The 16,265-nt window shown below is 45.7% G+C and overlaps 1 protein-coding gene across 6 annotated transcripts in view; it reads left to right on the forward strand.

Moving 5' to 3' along the window:
• DYRK4 (dual specificity tyrosine phosphorylation regulated kinase 4) overlaps nt 1-16,265 on the forward strand; it is a 51,668-nt gene that overhangs the window by 22,345 nt on the left and 13,058 nt on the right. For 3 of the 6 annotated variants that reach the window (NM_001371301.2, NM_001394779.1, NM_001394780.1), the window contains exons 3-10: nt 4,385-4,465; nt 5,778-5,888; nt 6,608-6,746; nt 8,450-8,613; nt 11,597-11,733; nt 12,037-12,177; nt 14,476-14,614; nt 15,155-15,236. In NM_001371301.2, the coding sequence (NP_001358230.1) occupies nt 4,385-4,465; nt 5,778-5,888; nt 6,608-6,746; nt 8,450-8,613; nt 11,597-11,733; nt 12,037-12,177; nt 14,476-14,614; nt 15,155-15,236 (994 nt within the window). Of the gene's footprint in view, nt 1-4,384; nt 4,466-5,525; nt 5,668-5,777; nt 6,003-6,607; nt 6,747-8,449; nt 8,614-11,596; nt 11,894-12,036; nt 12,622-14,475; nt 14,615-15,154; nt 15,237-16,265 lie in introns of those variants that run through there. The other 3 variants (NM_003845.3, NM_001407019.1, NR_104115.2) reach the window with 3 other exon arrangements.

Genomic DNA, 16,265 nt, shown 5'->3' on the forward strand with positions numbered 1-16,265 from the left:
TTTTTTTTTTTTTTTTTTTTTGAGGCAGAGTCTTGCTCTGTCGCCCAGGCTGGAGTACACTGGTGCGATCTTGGCTCACTGCAAGCTCTGCCTCCTGGGTTCATGCCATTCTCCTGCCTCAGCCTCCCGAGTAGCTGGGACTACAGGCGCCCACCACCACGCCCGGCTAATTTTTTGTGTTTTTAGTAGAGACGGGGTTTCATTATGTTAGCCAGGATGGTCTTGATCTCCTGACCTCGTGATCCACCCACCTCGGCCTCCCAAAGTGCTGGGATTACAGGCGTGAGCCACCGCGCCTGGCCTCTAATCAGCTTTTAAGCTGAACTCAGTTTCTATTGGAGAAGGGTGAGCTAGCTGAAACATGAGGATGGAGTTTGCTTTTTTTTTCTTCTGAGAAAACAAAAGAAGTGTGAGAACCCAAGTGCTTAGCTAGCTCAAAACACAGACTCACAAGACGGCAGAGGAGGGGCCCTGGGTCAGGACTTGAGACTGGAGCACCCCTCACCCGCCATCAGCCTGCCTGTGGCATGTCACCGCAGTGTTCAGATCCTATGGGTTTATCTCTTAGTGATGACAAGCACAGCGGGAGACCCCAGGGAATCCCGACTCAAGTGTGGGCCTACGTGTGAATCTTAGTGGCCTCAGCCTACTTGTGAGCCCAGCATCTCCTGTCCCTTCTCTTGATTCCCACAATTGCTGTTTCCATAGACTGAAGCTCTCCCAGCGTAGTTTCCTTGATGCCTCCTTCTAGAGCCTATTCCACTCTCTCAAGGGTCTCATGGAGAGAGTGCTGCTGCACTTATTATTGCCTTCTCCTCCCTTGCATTGCATGGAACCATTTATAGTTATCTGCTGTAATATCTTTTGCTTTTAAACAATGGTATACTATGCAGCCATAAAAAATGATGAGTTCATGTCCTTTGTAGGGACATGGATGAAGCTGGAAACCATCATTCTCAGCAAACTATCACAAGGACAAAAAACCAAACACCGCATGTTCTCACTCACAGGTGGGAATTGAACAATGAGAACACATGGACACAGGAAGGGGAACATCACACACCGGGGACTGTTGTGGGGTGGGGGGAGCGGGGAGGGATAACATTAGGAGATATACCTAATGTAAATGATGAGTTAATGGGTGCAGCACACCAACATGGCAAATGTATACATATGTAACAAACCTGCACGTTGTGCACATGTACCCTAAAACTTAAAGTATAATAATAATTTTTCAAAATGGTATTTTTAATGATAAAAGCAGTACATATTCATACAAAAAGTTTGGAAGATAAAGAAACTTCATAATTTAGTTCTGGCTGTTTAGAAGTCTTCTGAGAGCTGTGATGGTCACAAAAACGAGAACTGAAAAGAGCTTTAGCTGGGGGCATGATGGTTCACGCCTGTAATCCCAACACTGGGAGGCCAAGGCAGGAGGATTGCTTGAGCTCAGGAGTTTGAGACCAGCCTGGGAAAACAGCAAGATCCTGTCTCTACCAAAAATAAAAATAAAAATAAAAATTAGCTGGGCTTGGTGGCATGCACCTGTAGTCCCAGCTACTTGGGAGGCTGAGGTGGGAGGATTGCTTGAGGCTGGGAGGTTGAGGCTGCAGCCTGGGTAACAGGGCAAGACACCTTCTCTAGAAACAAGAAAAGAGCCTCGTTGGCTTTCACTGATGCCCTTTCTTCTGATCTCCTGTCCCCTCTAGAGGCAGGGCCCAGGTCTTAGACTGCACAGGAAGCACCCCCCTGCTCTGGACCCCTGTGAATAAAATCTTTTGTTACATAGGAGATTCTAGATTTAGATACAGAGCTCAGGACTACTAAGGAGATTCCTGTTTTATTGGCTTAGATATAACAATGTCATGAAAGCTCACTTTCTTCAAAAAAAATCCTGTCTTGCAGCTGTGAATACGGGAGAGCACACCCGCTTCCTTTTGCCTCCCAGCGATCCCTTGGTCGAATTAAGTGTTTTTATGGGGCACTGTGTGCCTCTTGGGGAAGCTGCTGAAAGACAGCCAACAATCAGCAAGTTCATAAACTTGTGTGACCTGTGGGTATTTGAGAATGGAGTACAAGTGTGCAGAGATGTAGAGGCCACCAGTCCTCGGGGTCACTTGGTCACCTGGGGCTGCTAAACTCCTGGGCTGCGTACACACACACACACACACACACACACAGACACACACACACACCCCTTTGCTCTGTCAGCTAAGCTCTGAGTCCATGGTTTTCCTGTTCATGGGAAATGAGCAAAGATCGCTCTCTCCATTTTGCAAATAAGGAAAATGAACTCTAGCAGACAACTTTGGCATGTGCAAAGCACTTTACACATATTAACTCCCTTAATCCTCACAGTGTTTTGAGGTTGGTACTAATATTATCACCACATTACATGAAGATAGGCTAATAACTTGCCCAGGTTCAAACAATCAGTAGTGGAACCAGGAATCAAAATGAAAGAGTGTGATTTTAGAGTCCATACCCATGAGCATTATTTTATCACATTGCTGCTGATGGGGTCTTTCTGAAATACTGCTTTGCACATGTAACTGCCAGCTATACAAATTGTTAGTGGTTCACTGTTGCCCACGGGATAAAGACCAAGCGTCTTAGTCTTTCAGTGCTTTCCATGCCCTGTGGTCAACCCCCTGTTCCTGCTTACCCAGCATGAGCAGGGAAGAGCCCTGGAGCGTGCCTGGGTGGTGTTGTTTCACTGAGCAAGCATGCTCTCTACCCGTCCTCTCGGTTAAAGCCCAGACCAAGCCTCACCCATTCAGAAGAGCGCCCCCTCTACCACCATCCTCCTGGGCCGATTGCATTCACAGTGATCTTTTCCTTCTTTGTTGATACTCACTGTTCATGCCCTTTGTTTCGTATTTAGTTTGGGCTGTATTCTGTTAATGTACCTTTCATTTATCTGTCCAGTCTCCCTACCGCATCCTCAATGTCAGCCTGTTATTGACGATGCTAATGAATATTCATCCCCACAAACCTACTTGATGAGAAATTGAGACTCTGAGATTTGCAATTGCAATATTTGCTCAGATACCATTTTCCATTCAATAGTGGAATCCTAAATGTAGCACATTAGCGAATTAACGTGGTCTGAGACCATGCCCCATGTTCTATGCAACCCTCTCTCCCTCAGACTACCTCCCTATTGCAGGAGGTCAAGATTGACTGTCCCAAATAGTCCTCATCATTACTGTGCTGTGCAGGACTTAGCTGTGCTGGATGATATTAAGTGTTGTACCCAGTTGTTATTTCAGTGTGGCCAAATGTTTACAGAAGTGGGTCTGATACCAGCTGTGTGTCAGCTTTGGATAAACATCCTTCAACTCCATAGGGGAGGTCTGGAAGAAGGAGGAACCCTGGTTTGGCTTCAAAGACCAGAACTTCGATTCAAGCTCTAGCCTGTTGTTTGCTAAACTTCAGTCATTTGAGGGCCAGCTTTACAGTTTTTGCCATGCCTACGCCTACATAGTCCTCACACTCTGTTTTGTTTTATTATTGTTTTTTGTAGAGACAAGGTCTCTATCTGTTGCTCAGGCTGGAGTGCAGTGGCACGATCATAGCTCACTGTAACCTGGAAATCTTGGCCTCAAGTGATCGTCCCACCTCAGCCTCTCAAAGCACTGGGATTACAGGTGTGAGACACCATGCCTGGCCTTACTTTTTTTTTTAACTTAAATTTTAATCTCATCCTACATAATAACAACCACAACGTTACAAGTTCAATGTGCTTGTTACAGTTTTTCAAATGGATATTACAGTAAATCCATACCCATTAGATAGCTCTTTATCTGCGTACTGTACACATTACGTCCTCTTCCTCTGCGGGGTGCTTGCCGCCCTCTGGGACACACTGCTCTAGTATTTTGGTCTTCTTCTCCTCACCCTTCTAGGCGTGAAGTCTCTTCTGATCAGGGCACTGGTGTCCAGGCTGGGTGCCTGTGTTCCACTGGGTGGGTTCCACTATGCCACCTTCAGAGCCACACTCAGGGCGAAAAGACTTCCAGGCAAGGCAATGGCCATTTTCTTTTCTAAAGAGCAAGAGCAGCTCAGCTGTTACTCCTTACCGTAAGCAGGGTCTCTAGTTAAGATTTTGTTGGAAGAAAAGGCCATATTGATTTTTTTTAAAGCATGAAAACCATAGGCCAAGCCCATCCAGGATGAACACTTTGGGAAAGATCATTTGTTTGGATAATCATCCATTCATACATTCATTGAGTACTTATTGGAGCCTCTCTTGGCTCTTCCCAGCTAAGGATTCAGGAGAGCTGGCCTCAAGCATAGTTTGTTTATTGTAATGTAACAAAAATATACAGTGTGGGATAAAGCCATGCCAAGCATTGTTCCTATTTTCTTCCACTTGATCCAGGTTGGAAGTAAACTTTCGGTTCAGATCCAGAAGCCACCTTCCAATATCAAGAACTCCAGAATGACCCAAGTCTTTCATAAGGTAGGGAGTGATGGTCAGCTCCTTTTCTCTAGGAGAGAATGAGGAGAGGTGGGTGGCCAGGGTAGCTTTGAACAGACAGTTTTGGCCAATTTATCATAAAATGTATCATAACATGATGACAGCACTCTATCCACGTCACCACACCCCATCTCCACATCACCACGCCCCATCTCCTCCACATGATTTTTAAAAATGTTTTTATTTTAATTTTTGTGGGTATATAGTAGGTACATATATTTATGGGATACATGAGATGTTTTGATGTAGATATGCAATGTGTAATAATCACATCATGGAAAATGGGGTATTTGTCCCCTCAGGCATTTATCCTTTGTGTTACATACAATAAAATACAATTAAATTACTATTGATTATAGTCACCCTGTTGTGCTATCAAACATGAGGTCTTATTCAGTGTACGTTTTTGTACCCATTAACCATCCCCACCTCTCCCCTGACCACTACCCTTCCCAGCCTCTGATAACCATCCTTTTAATCTCTGTCTCCCTTAATTAAATTGTTTGGATTTTTAGATCCCATAAATAAGTGAGAACATGTGATATTTCTCTTTCTGTGCCTGGCTTATTTCACTTAGCATAATGATCTCTAGTTCTATCCATATTCTTGCAAATGACAGGTTCTCATCCTTTTTTATGACTGAATAGTATTCCATTGTGTTTAAGTATCACATTTTCTTTATTCATTCATCTGTTGATGGACACTTAGGTTGTTTCCAAATTTTAGCTCTTCTGACCTCTCTCCTGATTAATCAGTCAATCAGTCAGTGCAGGAGGCAGGGATCCAAGTGAGTAGGTCAAGTCAATAATGTAGTCATAGAGGAAATTGAAGCTTATGTTGCACTGAGGAAGATTTGTGTGATATAACAGGAAGAACTTCCCTGCGTTAGGGTGGTAAGATATTGGAGTAATAATAATAATGGCCAGCACTTACAGAATACTCTCTATATATTGACTCATTTACCTCACAAAAGCCTTATGAGGTAGGCCCCATTTTTGTTCCCATGGTAGTGATGAAATAATTGAGGTTTCGAGAAAGAGTCAGTGTGAGCTGTTGAAAGCCTGCAGCTAGTAAGTAGTAGAGCAGGGACTCAAACCCAGAGCCCATGTGTTTGTTGACTCTGCTGCTCTGGAATCTGCATTTCTTGCCAAGAACTTTAAGAATAGGTTTAGGTCCAGATTGGGGTTAGGCTCATTCTTGTTGGGGAATTGGGAAGGGAGGCTGGAAGAAATGACCCCTGGAGACGTTTTCTTGCCTAAGGCTTTTGTAACACATGCAATTTCTCCTTCTACAGAACACCAGTGTTACTTCACTCCCCTTTGTGGACACCAAGGGGAAGAAGAATACGGTAAGCTTCCCACACATTAGCAAGAAAGTCCTGCTGAAGTCATCCCTGCTGTATCAGGTGAGTGCAGACGGACTGGACCCTGAGAAGGCAGGTGAAAGACCTGGTTTTAGTCCAAAGCCAGTTTTAGAAAGGCCCAGGATAGTGGGGAAAAGCACAGTAGCTGCTGAAGAGGTGGGTTCTAGTCCTGTTCTCATTCTTTACAATGACTATAAGCTTGAGCAAATAAGTCCTTGACCTTTTCTTAGCTACAAAATGGGCCCTCTCTAGAGCTGTCAGGAGGATTCATTGAGGAAAAATGAAGTGCTGGTACATAAAAGGTGGAACCATACAAAATATTAGTTTCCTCCCATGTCCTCCTACTTCTTTTGTGTAGGGACCAAATAAGATAATAGGTGCGAAGGTGCCAACTGAAAGAGGCGTCACACACACATAAGTCCATGTGCTCCTGGGCAAGTCACTTTGTCTTGTTGGGAGCTCACCTTCTTAAGAGCAGCAGTGAAAAACTGTTCCCATCTCTTCCCATAGTGAGATGTTGCTGGGGTTGTCAGCAGCATACGGTAAGGTACAGGGGTCTCCCCAGGAATAGTGTCAGTCAGACAGATGCTTCCTTTGGGAGAGAGGTAGGGAGAACCTTCTGTCTCTTAATCGCTGTTTTCTCCCTGGAGAGGTAGGTAAAGAGCCTGGCTGAAGGTGGGTGTCTTTGGTTAAATAAATGGTTTATGGCCCCCAGGAGAGTCCTAAGTAGTTATTTATTGCAAACCTCTTTTCCTGGACAGGAGAATCAAGCTCACAATCAGATGCCGGCCTCAGAGCTCAAGGCTTCAGAAATACCTTTCCACCCTAGCATTAAAACCCAGGATCCCAAGGCAGAGGAGAAGTCACCAAAGAAGCAAAAGGTGACTCTGACAGCGGCAGGTATGCCTTTGGGGCAGTAGCAGGGTGGGGAGGTGCTTATGGAAGGTCGGGGTGTTAAGAGCTAAGCTGCGCTGGAGTGAGCTAAGCTGCCAGGTGTCAGAGTAGTCAAAGAAGGCAGCCAGCCAAGAGGAAAGTAGAAGTTAAGCGTTGAACCTCTGACTGTGGTAGTATAAGCAAGAGGCTGAATAGGAGGCTGAATTTCCCCCAAGGAGTGGCTCTGGGCAAGGGCGGGATGTACCAATGCAGACAGAAGGAAGTGTCTCATTTGCCTAAGGAGCCCAGACACAAGGCTCCTGTCATTTTATGGACCCAGGGGCCAGCGGGAAGGCACTGAGAGAGTGGAAGAGCCAGGAGTGGAAAGGTACTGAATACTGAGAGCAGAGCAAAGGGTGCTGAAGCTTGCTCCTTCCTCTTGATAAGGAGGTGTTGGAGAGGAGCCTCTGTAGGGGGATCTTGATTAGAAATGCAGACATGTAGAAGAGCATGGCCAGCCAGGGGTCTCAGTCCTTGGCTGTAGCTTCCTCCAGAGATTGCAATGCATTGGCTGTGCACCAGCTCTGGTGCAGGGAGGGCAGCTTTGCCCGTGAGGCTTGCCAGGTGAAGCCTTTGTGGATTGCCTTGTGGTCAGGCCTGAAAGATTACACATGGGTTTTTGGCCAGTAGCTAGACTTTTAATGGGATTCAGAGACTCATAACCTATTAGGATGCAAAGGAAGAGAGCCCAAATCCACCGAGCATCCACTATGTGTGCCATCATCAGACACTTTACAGCTCTTCTACCACAGCTTAGAAACTGAAATTGGTGCTTGTTGTTCTTAAACAACTCCGGGAACTATGCATGAAGAGGTCATTTCAGTCCTGAGCTAGTTCTGCCTTCACAGAGCTGCCATCTGCCCCCCTGCTATCTTATGCCTTGGCTCTGTCCTCTGGGCAAAGAACATGCCTTATTCAGCTTATACTTGACTGCCCTTCACATATATGAAAACAGAAGTCTTGTTCCCTATAAGTCTTTTTCTTTTTCCTTGCAGTTCCCTCTCTAGTGCTTCAGCAGTTTGTCAAATAATATGGTGCCCCCTATCCTAATCCTAGTTTCTTTTCTCTGAGAATGCTCTAGTTCATCAGTTACTGTGAATTTTACCCCTGACCACGCACGAGAGCGCCAATGTGATCTGGCTGGTGTAGGGAAGTCCTAACTCATAATCTCTTCTTGCAATCTGAGGTCCTTCCTGATCCAGCTGCAGATTTGAGCGTGAAGCCTCCTGGGCCTTTAATGTTGCCTTTATGTTACCTGTCTGGCCCTGCAGACATTACAGTTCTCAAAGCCTCTCAAGACGGACTAATTATAGCTTAATTCCACGTTAACTTGGGCAACTTGCCACCTAAACTATATACTATTGTCGACACTAATTTGACTCCTGGAATTTTTACCTGCGCTGCTCTAACCCCCAGGTGTTTGGGAACTGAGCTCTCTGTTCCCCTGTCCTTGTGTTCCTTTCTCGATTTGTTGAAATAAATACAAGACCTTGACATTTATTCTTGTCATACTTCCATCTTGTGAGATGCCAGATGCAGGGTCCTCAGTGAGCCACCCAGCTGGGGAACAGGCTGATGGCTCGTGACCTGGAAGGGATGCCATCGTCTGCATCCGGGGCAAATCCCATGCTGCCTCAACTGAACTCACAATTGTAGTGTTTTTCACACAGAGGCCCTAAAGCTTTTTAAGAACCAGCTGTCTCCATATGAACAAAGTGAAATCCTGGGCTACGCGGAGCTGTGGTTCCTGGGTCTTGAAGCCAAGAAGCTCGACACGGCTCCTGAGAAATTTAGCAAGACGAGTTTTGATGATGAGCATGGCTTCTATCTGAAGGTGATGGGGGTGGGGGCCATGGGAACCTGCAGGGGCCCAGGGACAAGAGGTAGTCTAGAAAGGAAAAAAGCAACGGTATTTTGTAGTATTTGGGGCTGATACGTTGGAGACTAGATATCCTGAAGTATTCTGGTAGTGCCAAACCAAGGAAATACCATGTTTGAAAATGGGGAAGCATGCAATTTAGTATGCAAAATACTCTACTAATGGAAGACTAATTTTCCCCCAAGCATAGTTGGGGTAGCCGGTTTGCATCCTGGGTGAGCTCCCACAGGCTCCTTCCCTGCATAGCCCACTGGAAAAGGCCAGACTGAAATAAGGAGCAGTTTTCCCAACATTCCCTTTTTTGTCTCTTCAATACAAGCCCATACATGGACTCTTTTCTATTTTATAGTAGATGTCACTTCCCCCACAGACAAAAAAGCTTTTGTCACTGTAGACCCTGGTGCATAGAGCTTAATTTCATTCTGTTTTTTAAAAAACAATCCCAGCAGCTCCTCTTCCTCCCCCTCTTCTGACTGTAGCCCTTGGCTTCCCCAGGACAGTGCCTCTTCCCAGCCTTAAGGTGAAAGCTGAGCAGTGATTCCCAGGGCTGAGCATGTTGGGATGTGTGCTGCTTAGTCCACTAGGCTGTGGGCTGTCAGGAATTTCCTCTTCGGAACATTTCATTGCAACTTGGATTTAAGATACAGGATGAGTCTGATGGCTCATAGAAGAGGCAGATTTTATTAACAGCATTTAGGGCTGTGTTTGTCTAGCATTACTGTGAACACAAACCACTTGGAGGAGCTCGTTAAAATGCAGGTTCTTATCCAGCAGGTCTGGGGCTGGGGCCTAAGCTTCCAGGTGATGCCTGTGCTGTTGATGCTTGGACCACACTTTGAGAAGCAAGGATTTCGTTTCTGTCACACAGCTGCCTTCTAGAGCCCGGGTTTTCAATATTTTCGGTCAAGCATCCCTTTGGGAGCCTGATAAAAGCTATAGGTCCTCATCTCAGAAAAGACAACCTGCGCATACATAAAATTATAGGGGGTTAGTGGATCTTTGGTTAGGAATCTCCAATATAAATATGTATATATGTTTTTTGAGATGGAGTTGCCCAGGCTGGAGTGCAGTGGTGTGATCACGGCTCACTGCAACCTCCACCTCCTGGGTTCAGGTGATTCTCTTGCTTCAGCCTCCAGAGTAGCAGGGATTACAGGCGCCCGCCACCACGCCTGGCTGATTTTTGTATTTTTAGTAGAGGCAGGGTTAAACCGTGTTGGCCAGGCTGGCCTCAAACTCCTGACCTCAGGCGATCCATCCGTCTTGGCCTCCCAAAAGGCTGGGATCACAGGTGTGAGCCACTGCGCCTGGCTGGGAATCTCCAGTATAAATCTTAACTCTGATTCAGCTAGACCTCCTCAACCCCTCCCTCCCTGCTCCCTCCTCTGCTCCACCCTAGCTGAGCCTAGGGTCTCTGGGGAATTCCCTAAGGGTGTCAGTACTACTTTTAAGTTAATTCATTGGAACTCAGTTCTTCAGTCTCAAATCTTAGAAAAGCCTTTTTTTTTTTTGGTGAGGGCGTTGTGGGGAAGAAAGGGACAATGTGTGTTCTCCGTAAGCTCAGAATCACCATCCTTATTGCATTCCAGTACACACACAAATACATACTGCACACAGCCAAATTCCCAAGCAAGCAACATAGCTGCATTCTCACTTAATTTTGTCAGCAAATGTTAATTGAATGCCTATGTATTGATAATCTGTCATAAAGTTGGGCATCTACTAGACTCTGGAAATATAAAGGAAGCTATCATAAATGAATACAAAATGGTTTTTGCTTCAAGTAACCATAATCAATGTCAAAGTTGACTTGCGAACGAACAATTATGACACAAAGTGGTAGCATGCAGAAGGCAAGCACAAATGCTAAGAAAACACATATGTAATTTTATAGCAACATGTGTGTGGATCCTGTCCCTGTCCTTTTCCCATACATTCTCATGACAGACCCTTACAAGTAGACTAACCTACATGCATAGATCAGGAAAGTTGTACGTGTTCAAATTCAGTCTTGATTCCTCCTGTATGAACAGACCCCTGGCACACATTCTCAAACACATCCTCAGGACTTGTGCACAAACACTTAATCCTTCACCTCTCCCAAACTCATGAGTGTAACACTAGAAATTAGAGACCCACAGAGCTTGAGGACCTTAGAGATAATCTCATCCAGCATCTTCAGTTCACAGACAATAGCACTGCAGCTCAGAATGGATAAATTGCTTGTCTAAAGCTGAAGTATTTTTAATAGAAAATTTCCTGTGGTTTTGATTAACCCCCTGCTCCCTAGTTTCCAGCATAGGGAGAGACATGGGTGATTCTGGCTCTTGAAATATTTCTCTTCACCAAGAAAGGTCCAAGTTCTGTACTGCTAACTCCAGGATAGGATTAAATCCCAGTAAGCCCAAAGGAGAACCAAATTTGGCCAGGAAGAGGCAGAGAGGAGACCTAACGCCTTCTCTAATTGATAGAGACACATCAGGGGTCAGAAATAAAACTTCCCCCAAACCAGAGATGCTGCTTAACTTCAAGACTCATAAAATGTCCAAACTGAAAGGGACTTTCAGGGCCGCTTTTTCCAACCCTCTTACTTTATAGGTCCTAAAACATGCAGAAAACTAGAGGACTAGAACTAGAACTACAATACTGGGACTAGATCCCAAGTTTCCTAAAACCATCCAATGTCCTTTGTGCTGCTTGACATGGATCAAGCCTGTGGGACTTTCCCTGGCACCACATGGGTGGCCCAGAATCCAGGCAACAAGCTCCTCATCATAGTCGCAATGAGATGAGGGCGAGAGTCGCACAAGTGCCCAGTGTAGTTAGAAAATTCCTCCAGGAGTGAGCCATAATCTGGGGATGGGAATGCCAGGGCCATGTACCAGGAAGGCCTGGGAGCCCATGGCTTTGCTCTTCACCTCCGGCCTGGCTTCCACAGGTCCTGCATGATCACATTGCCTACCGCTATGAAGTTCTGGAGACAATCGGGAAGGGGTCCTTTGGACAGGTGGCCAAGTGCTTGGATCACAAAAACAATGAGCTGGTGGCCCTGAAAATCATCAGGAACAAGAAGAGGTGTGGCTTGGGGATGACATAGGCCACAGAGGAGGGACTGCGTGACTGTGGCCCCTGCAGAATGCCAGCCCTTCCTGACTGTGCCTCTCCCTCCAATCTTCCCTTTTGTCTTCCCTTTTCTCTTTCTACCCGTCTGATTCCATGAGGGGGCAAAGAGGAGGTGAGAGTGTGGTATTTTTAGTGCTTCCTGCCACTAGACAGTCTTGTTGGGGTCATGGGGAGGGGCTGACTGCTGCAGCGGGACCTGACACTGATGTTTCTATCCCCATTTCCCACCCTGCCGGCCACTCCCAATCACCTTAGGTTTCACCAGCAGGCCCTGATGGAGCTGAAGATCCTGGAAGCTCTCAGAAAGAAGGACAAAGACAACACCTACAATGTGGTGCATATGAAGGACTTTTTCTACTTTCGCAATCACTTCTGCATCACCTTTGAGCTCCTGGGGTCAGCTGCCTTTTCTTCTTAACTCATTTTCTCTGGAAAAGTTACCTAAGTGATAGTTTTTGAGGTCAGAACACTAGATTTCTCTGGATGTGAATATTTAGTAACTAGAATGGACATGACAGTCACTCAGTTATCCAGAATGCCCAGGAGCAAGGAGGTTGGGATGAAAGCAGGCCATCTTGGTATGCCTGTCACCTGCCAGCATACCCATGATGTACTTCCCTGGTGCTGGGTACTGAGCCAGGTGACATGACCAAAACAAGGCCTCTTTCCTTAAGAGCTAAACTGAAATAGTCAAAAAGGACATTTCTTTGTTTGCAGTCATTTTCCCCACTCATTGGCTTTCTGGCCTGGTCGTGCAGAGGCTGAAACCCAAAGGAACAGGCAGCTGGCTGCTCAGAGTGGGAAATGGGTTTTGATTTTGAGTAAATAAGGACAAGAGCAGATATTTTTGGTAAGAGAGCAGAGCCTGACTTCAATAGATTGGCGTGGCCTGGCTGAATATTGGAGCTGACAAGGCATGCTACTTTGATTATTTTTCTCTCTGGGAAGACCATCTGATGCAATTTATATAAAACTAGAAACCCCGAATGCATTTAGCAAAGGAGAATAATCAGGGGTGAGCTCTCAGAGTGTTACTGGATTTAGCGAGCTGGTAGCTCACTGCCCCCATGACACCATTGCTGACGATGAAATTCTAGGAACCAGCTACATTTGAATTAGCAGGTAAGGTGACACTCTCCTCACCATTTCTGGTTATTACAAAGCGTGGTCGAGTCTCTGATATGCAGAGGTAAATTATCTTCTCTGTGGCCAAATGGACAGCTCGGTCTGCCTTTCTTGGCCATGAATCACAGTGCACAGTTAGAATGTCATTGTGCTTAAAAGAGCTCTGGGAGGTCAGAGGGCCAGGGCTGTGCAGGGGGAGTCCAAAGCCCAGAGAGATGAGGGAGTTGCCCAGGTGACTAGTCAGGATGGGGCCAGAGCCAAGACTCACATCTCCATTGCAGCCCTCAAGAATGAATGGTGGCCGGGCATGGTGGCTCATGCCTGTAATCCCAGCACTTTGGGAGGCCGAGGTGGGTGGATCACTTGAGGTCAGGAGTACCAGACCAGCCTGGCCAACGTGGTGAAACCCCATCTCTACTAAAAACACATCTCTACTAAAAACCCCATCTCTACTAAAAATAGCCGGGCGTGGTGGTGCGTGCCTGTAATCCCAGCTACTTGAGAGGCTGAGGCAGGAGAATCACTTAAATGTGGGAGGCAGAGGTTGCAGTGAGCTGAGATTGTGCCACTGCACTCCAGCCTGGTCAACAGAGCAAGACTCTGTCTCAAACAAACAAAAAAAGAATGAATGGCTCTGGCTGGGTATGGTGACTCACACCTGTAATCTCAGCATTTTCGGAGGCCAAGTTGGGAGGTCACTTGAGTCCGAAAGTTTGAGACCAGCCTGGACAACAGAGCAAGACCCCATCTCTAAAAAAACATTAAGAATGAGTGGCTTGCTAAATACTACCAAAGCTAGATGATCTTAGAAATGGAAGATGAGGAGGAACCAGCAGAAGTTTGCTGCAGAGCCATTTTGGAGTCATGCTCTTTCCCTTCTCTCCCCATCTCACAGCTTGCACAGAGGTTGCAACTGGCAGCTCACAAATAAATGTTTCTTTGTCAATGCATTGTATTAATATTAGTTTCTAACATTCGTAAGTCTGTAGACTTCATATAATATAGTAGGCTTCTGCCACCCTAGAGAATTTAAGATTCTCTGGCAAAAGCGAGCTTTCATTTCTCAAAGGAGCAGTTAGGTGGGACCAAACAGCCACACTTTGGGTGGAGCAGGGGCTCCCTTTGGCCTCAGCCCCCATCTGCCCACTCTCTTGTTCCTTACTTGTCAGGAACCTCATGTCCTTAGACAGCCCTTATTAGGCCTGGGCAGGAGTGGCTGCTTGTTTGAGTGACTGGTGGGCTTCCTGGTTCCCTCCCAAGGGCCTGAGGAACTATGACTATTTCAGAAGTTTGGGCCAACCTCTTAACCCGCCTGCATAACAAAGTGCTTCAGTGGCCTTGTCACATCAGAAATGAGGGGACATCTGAGAGTCTGACACAGTTTCACCCTGCGCCCACCACGATTCAGTGGGAAAGCTGAGTCTATAAGGGCATGAAAGCCTTGCCTCCTGGCCTGAGGCTTGCCTGCTACTAGACGGAAACCAGGTGATACAAGATTGTTTGCAGGTTCAAACTCAGCCTTATATGTTTTTTTACACCCATATGCATCACTTTTCCCCTCTTTTCCAGAATCAACTTGTATGAGTTGATGAAGAATAACAACTTTCAAGGCTTCAGTCTGTCCATAGTTCGGCGCTTCACTCTCTCTGTTTTGAAGTGCTTGCAGATGCTTTCGGTAGAGAAAATCATTCACTGTGATCTCAAGCCCGTGAGTACCATCTCCGTCCTGCCATGGACACACTCTGGAAATACCCATTCTATTCCCCAGGCCGTGTAACAATCACAAACTCCAATCAAATAATTGCCTTTGACTTTTTTTTTTTTTTTTTTTTTTGGTGCTCTACTGTCATGGCAGTATATCAAGGGAGGGCATTTCGTGGGAATGTCGAACAAATTCAGTCAATGGCATTTCTAAGGCCGTGCAAGCAAGGCCTAGAACCAGGTGCCAAAGAAGATAAAAACAAAGTCACTATCTTCAGGAGTTGCAGAATCAATAGGGGGAAAGTGACAAATATATGCAAAAGAAACTGTGCAAAGCAGTGACTATGAGGTCTGAATGAGAAACGCCGACCACAAGTCAAATGGAAAGTCAGAGCGGAGGATGATGGGATTTTGGAGAGGATGTGGGAGGATGCCCATGGAGGTGGTCATATTTGAACTGGGCCCTGAAGGATGAGGAGCATTTAGGTAAGTAGAGGGCCTAGGGCCGCATTACTGTAGCTTGACATATGTCTTTTCTTCTCTCTAGGAAAATATAGTGCTATACCAAAAGGGCCAAGCCTCTGTTAAAGTCATTGACTTTGGATCAAGCTGTTATGAACACCAGAAAGGTGAGCCCCATGTCAGTCCCATCATCTGAGTTTTCCTATTGCAATTTCTCTCCCTTCACATACAAGGTCACCTGCCTTCTAGGCTGCGCTCAGCTGTCACCACTACCAGTATGATTTTGAACAAGGTGCTTCGCTTCTCTGAGCCCAAGTTGCCTCATCTACAATTTGAGAAAGTTGTATCCAAATACTAGAAGGGTGCTTTCAAGCTCTCATATTCTGTAGATATGGAATTATCCTAGAACAGTGAGCCCCAAAACTAACTAACTGTGTATCTGAATTGCTTTGGGGCTCTGAAAAATTGTAGTTTGTTCCTAATTCAAATTTCTGGGAAGTAGCTAGAAGTCTGCGCTTCAGAAACCACAGTCATTCTGAAGTTTGGAATTCACTGCCCCAGATCCTCTAGGTTTTATTCTTTTTCAAGCTAGGATCCAAAAAAGTAGCTCTGGAGTACATTTTCACAGCGTTTACTGAACTTTATTTAATATTGTGTTCTTTCGGCTTCTATCAGGTTCGCTATAGAGAACACGTACCATTCAACAGACATTTGTGATCTGTTTTGTGTCAGTCACTGTCCTGGGTACCAGGAACAATTAGTGAACATTCCCTGTCCTCAGGTTGCTTACTATCTAATGTAAGAGACAGAAAGATAAAAATAATATGGTGAATACAATGATTAGAGATATACACAGGCTGTGTTAAAGATATACAACACAGGGACTTTGGGACCAGCTTTTAAGGTGGCAAGGGCTGTCAGAGGAAGCTTCCTGAGGCTGAAGACGGGACTACTAGATGGATGTTTCCAAATATTTGGTGGATCAATTTTTTTTCAGGGAAACACATATACAAGTTTATTAATAAAGAATATAATAAAAGACACAGATGAAGAGATACACAAGGCAAAGTATTGAGAAGGGGTGTGAAGCTTCCATGCCCTCTTGGGGGCACGCCACCCTCCCAACACCACGTTTCCCATACCCTGGAAGCTCTCTGAATCCTGCAGCTTGGGGATTTTTATGAAGGCGTCATCAC

Source organism: Homo sapiens, chromosome 12 (genome assembly GCF_000001405.40).
Source record: "Homo sapiens chromosome 12, GRCh38.p14 Primary Assembly".
Taxonomy (NCBI): Eukaryota; Metazoa; Chordata; class Mammalia; order Primates; family Hominidae; genus Homo; species Homo sapiens.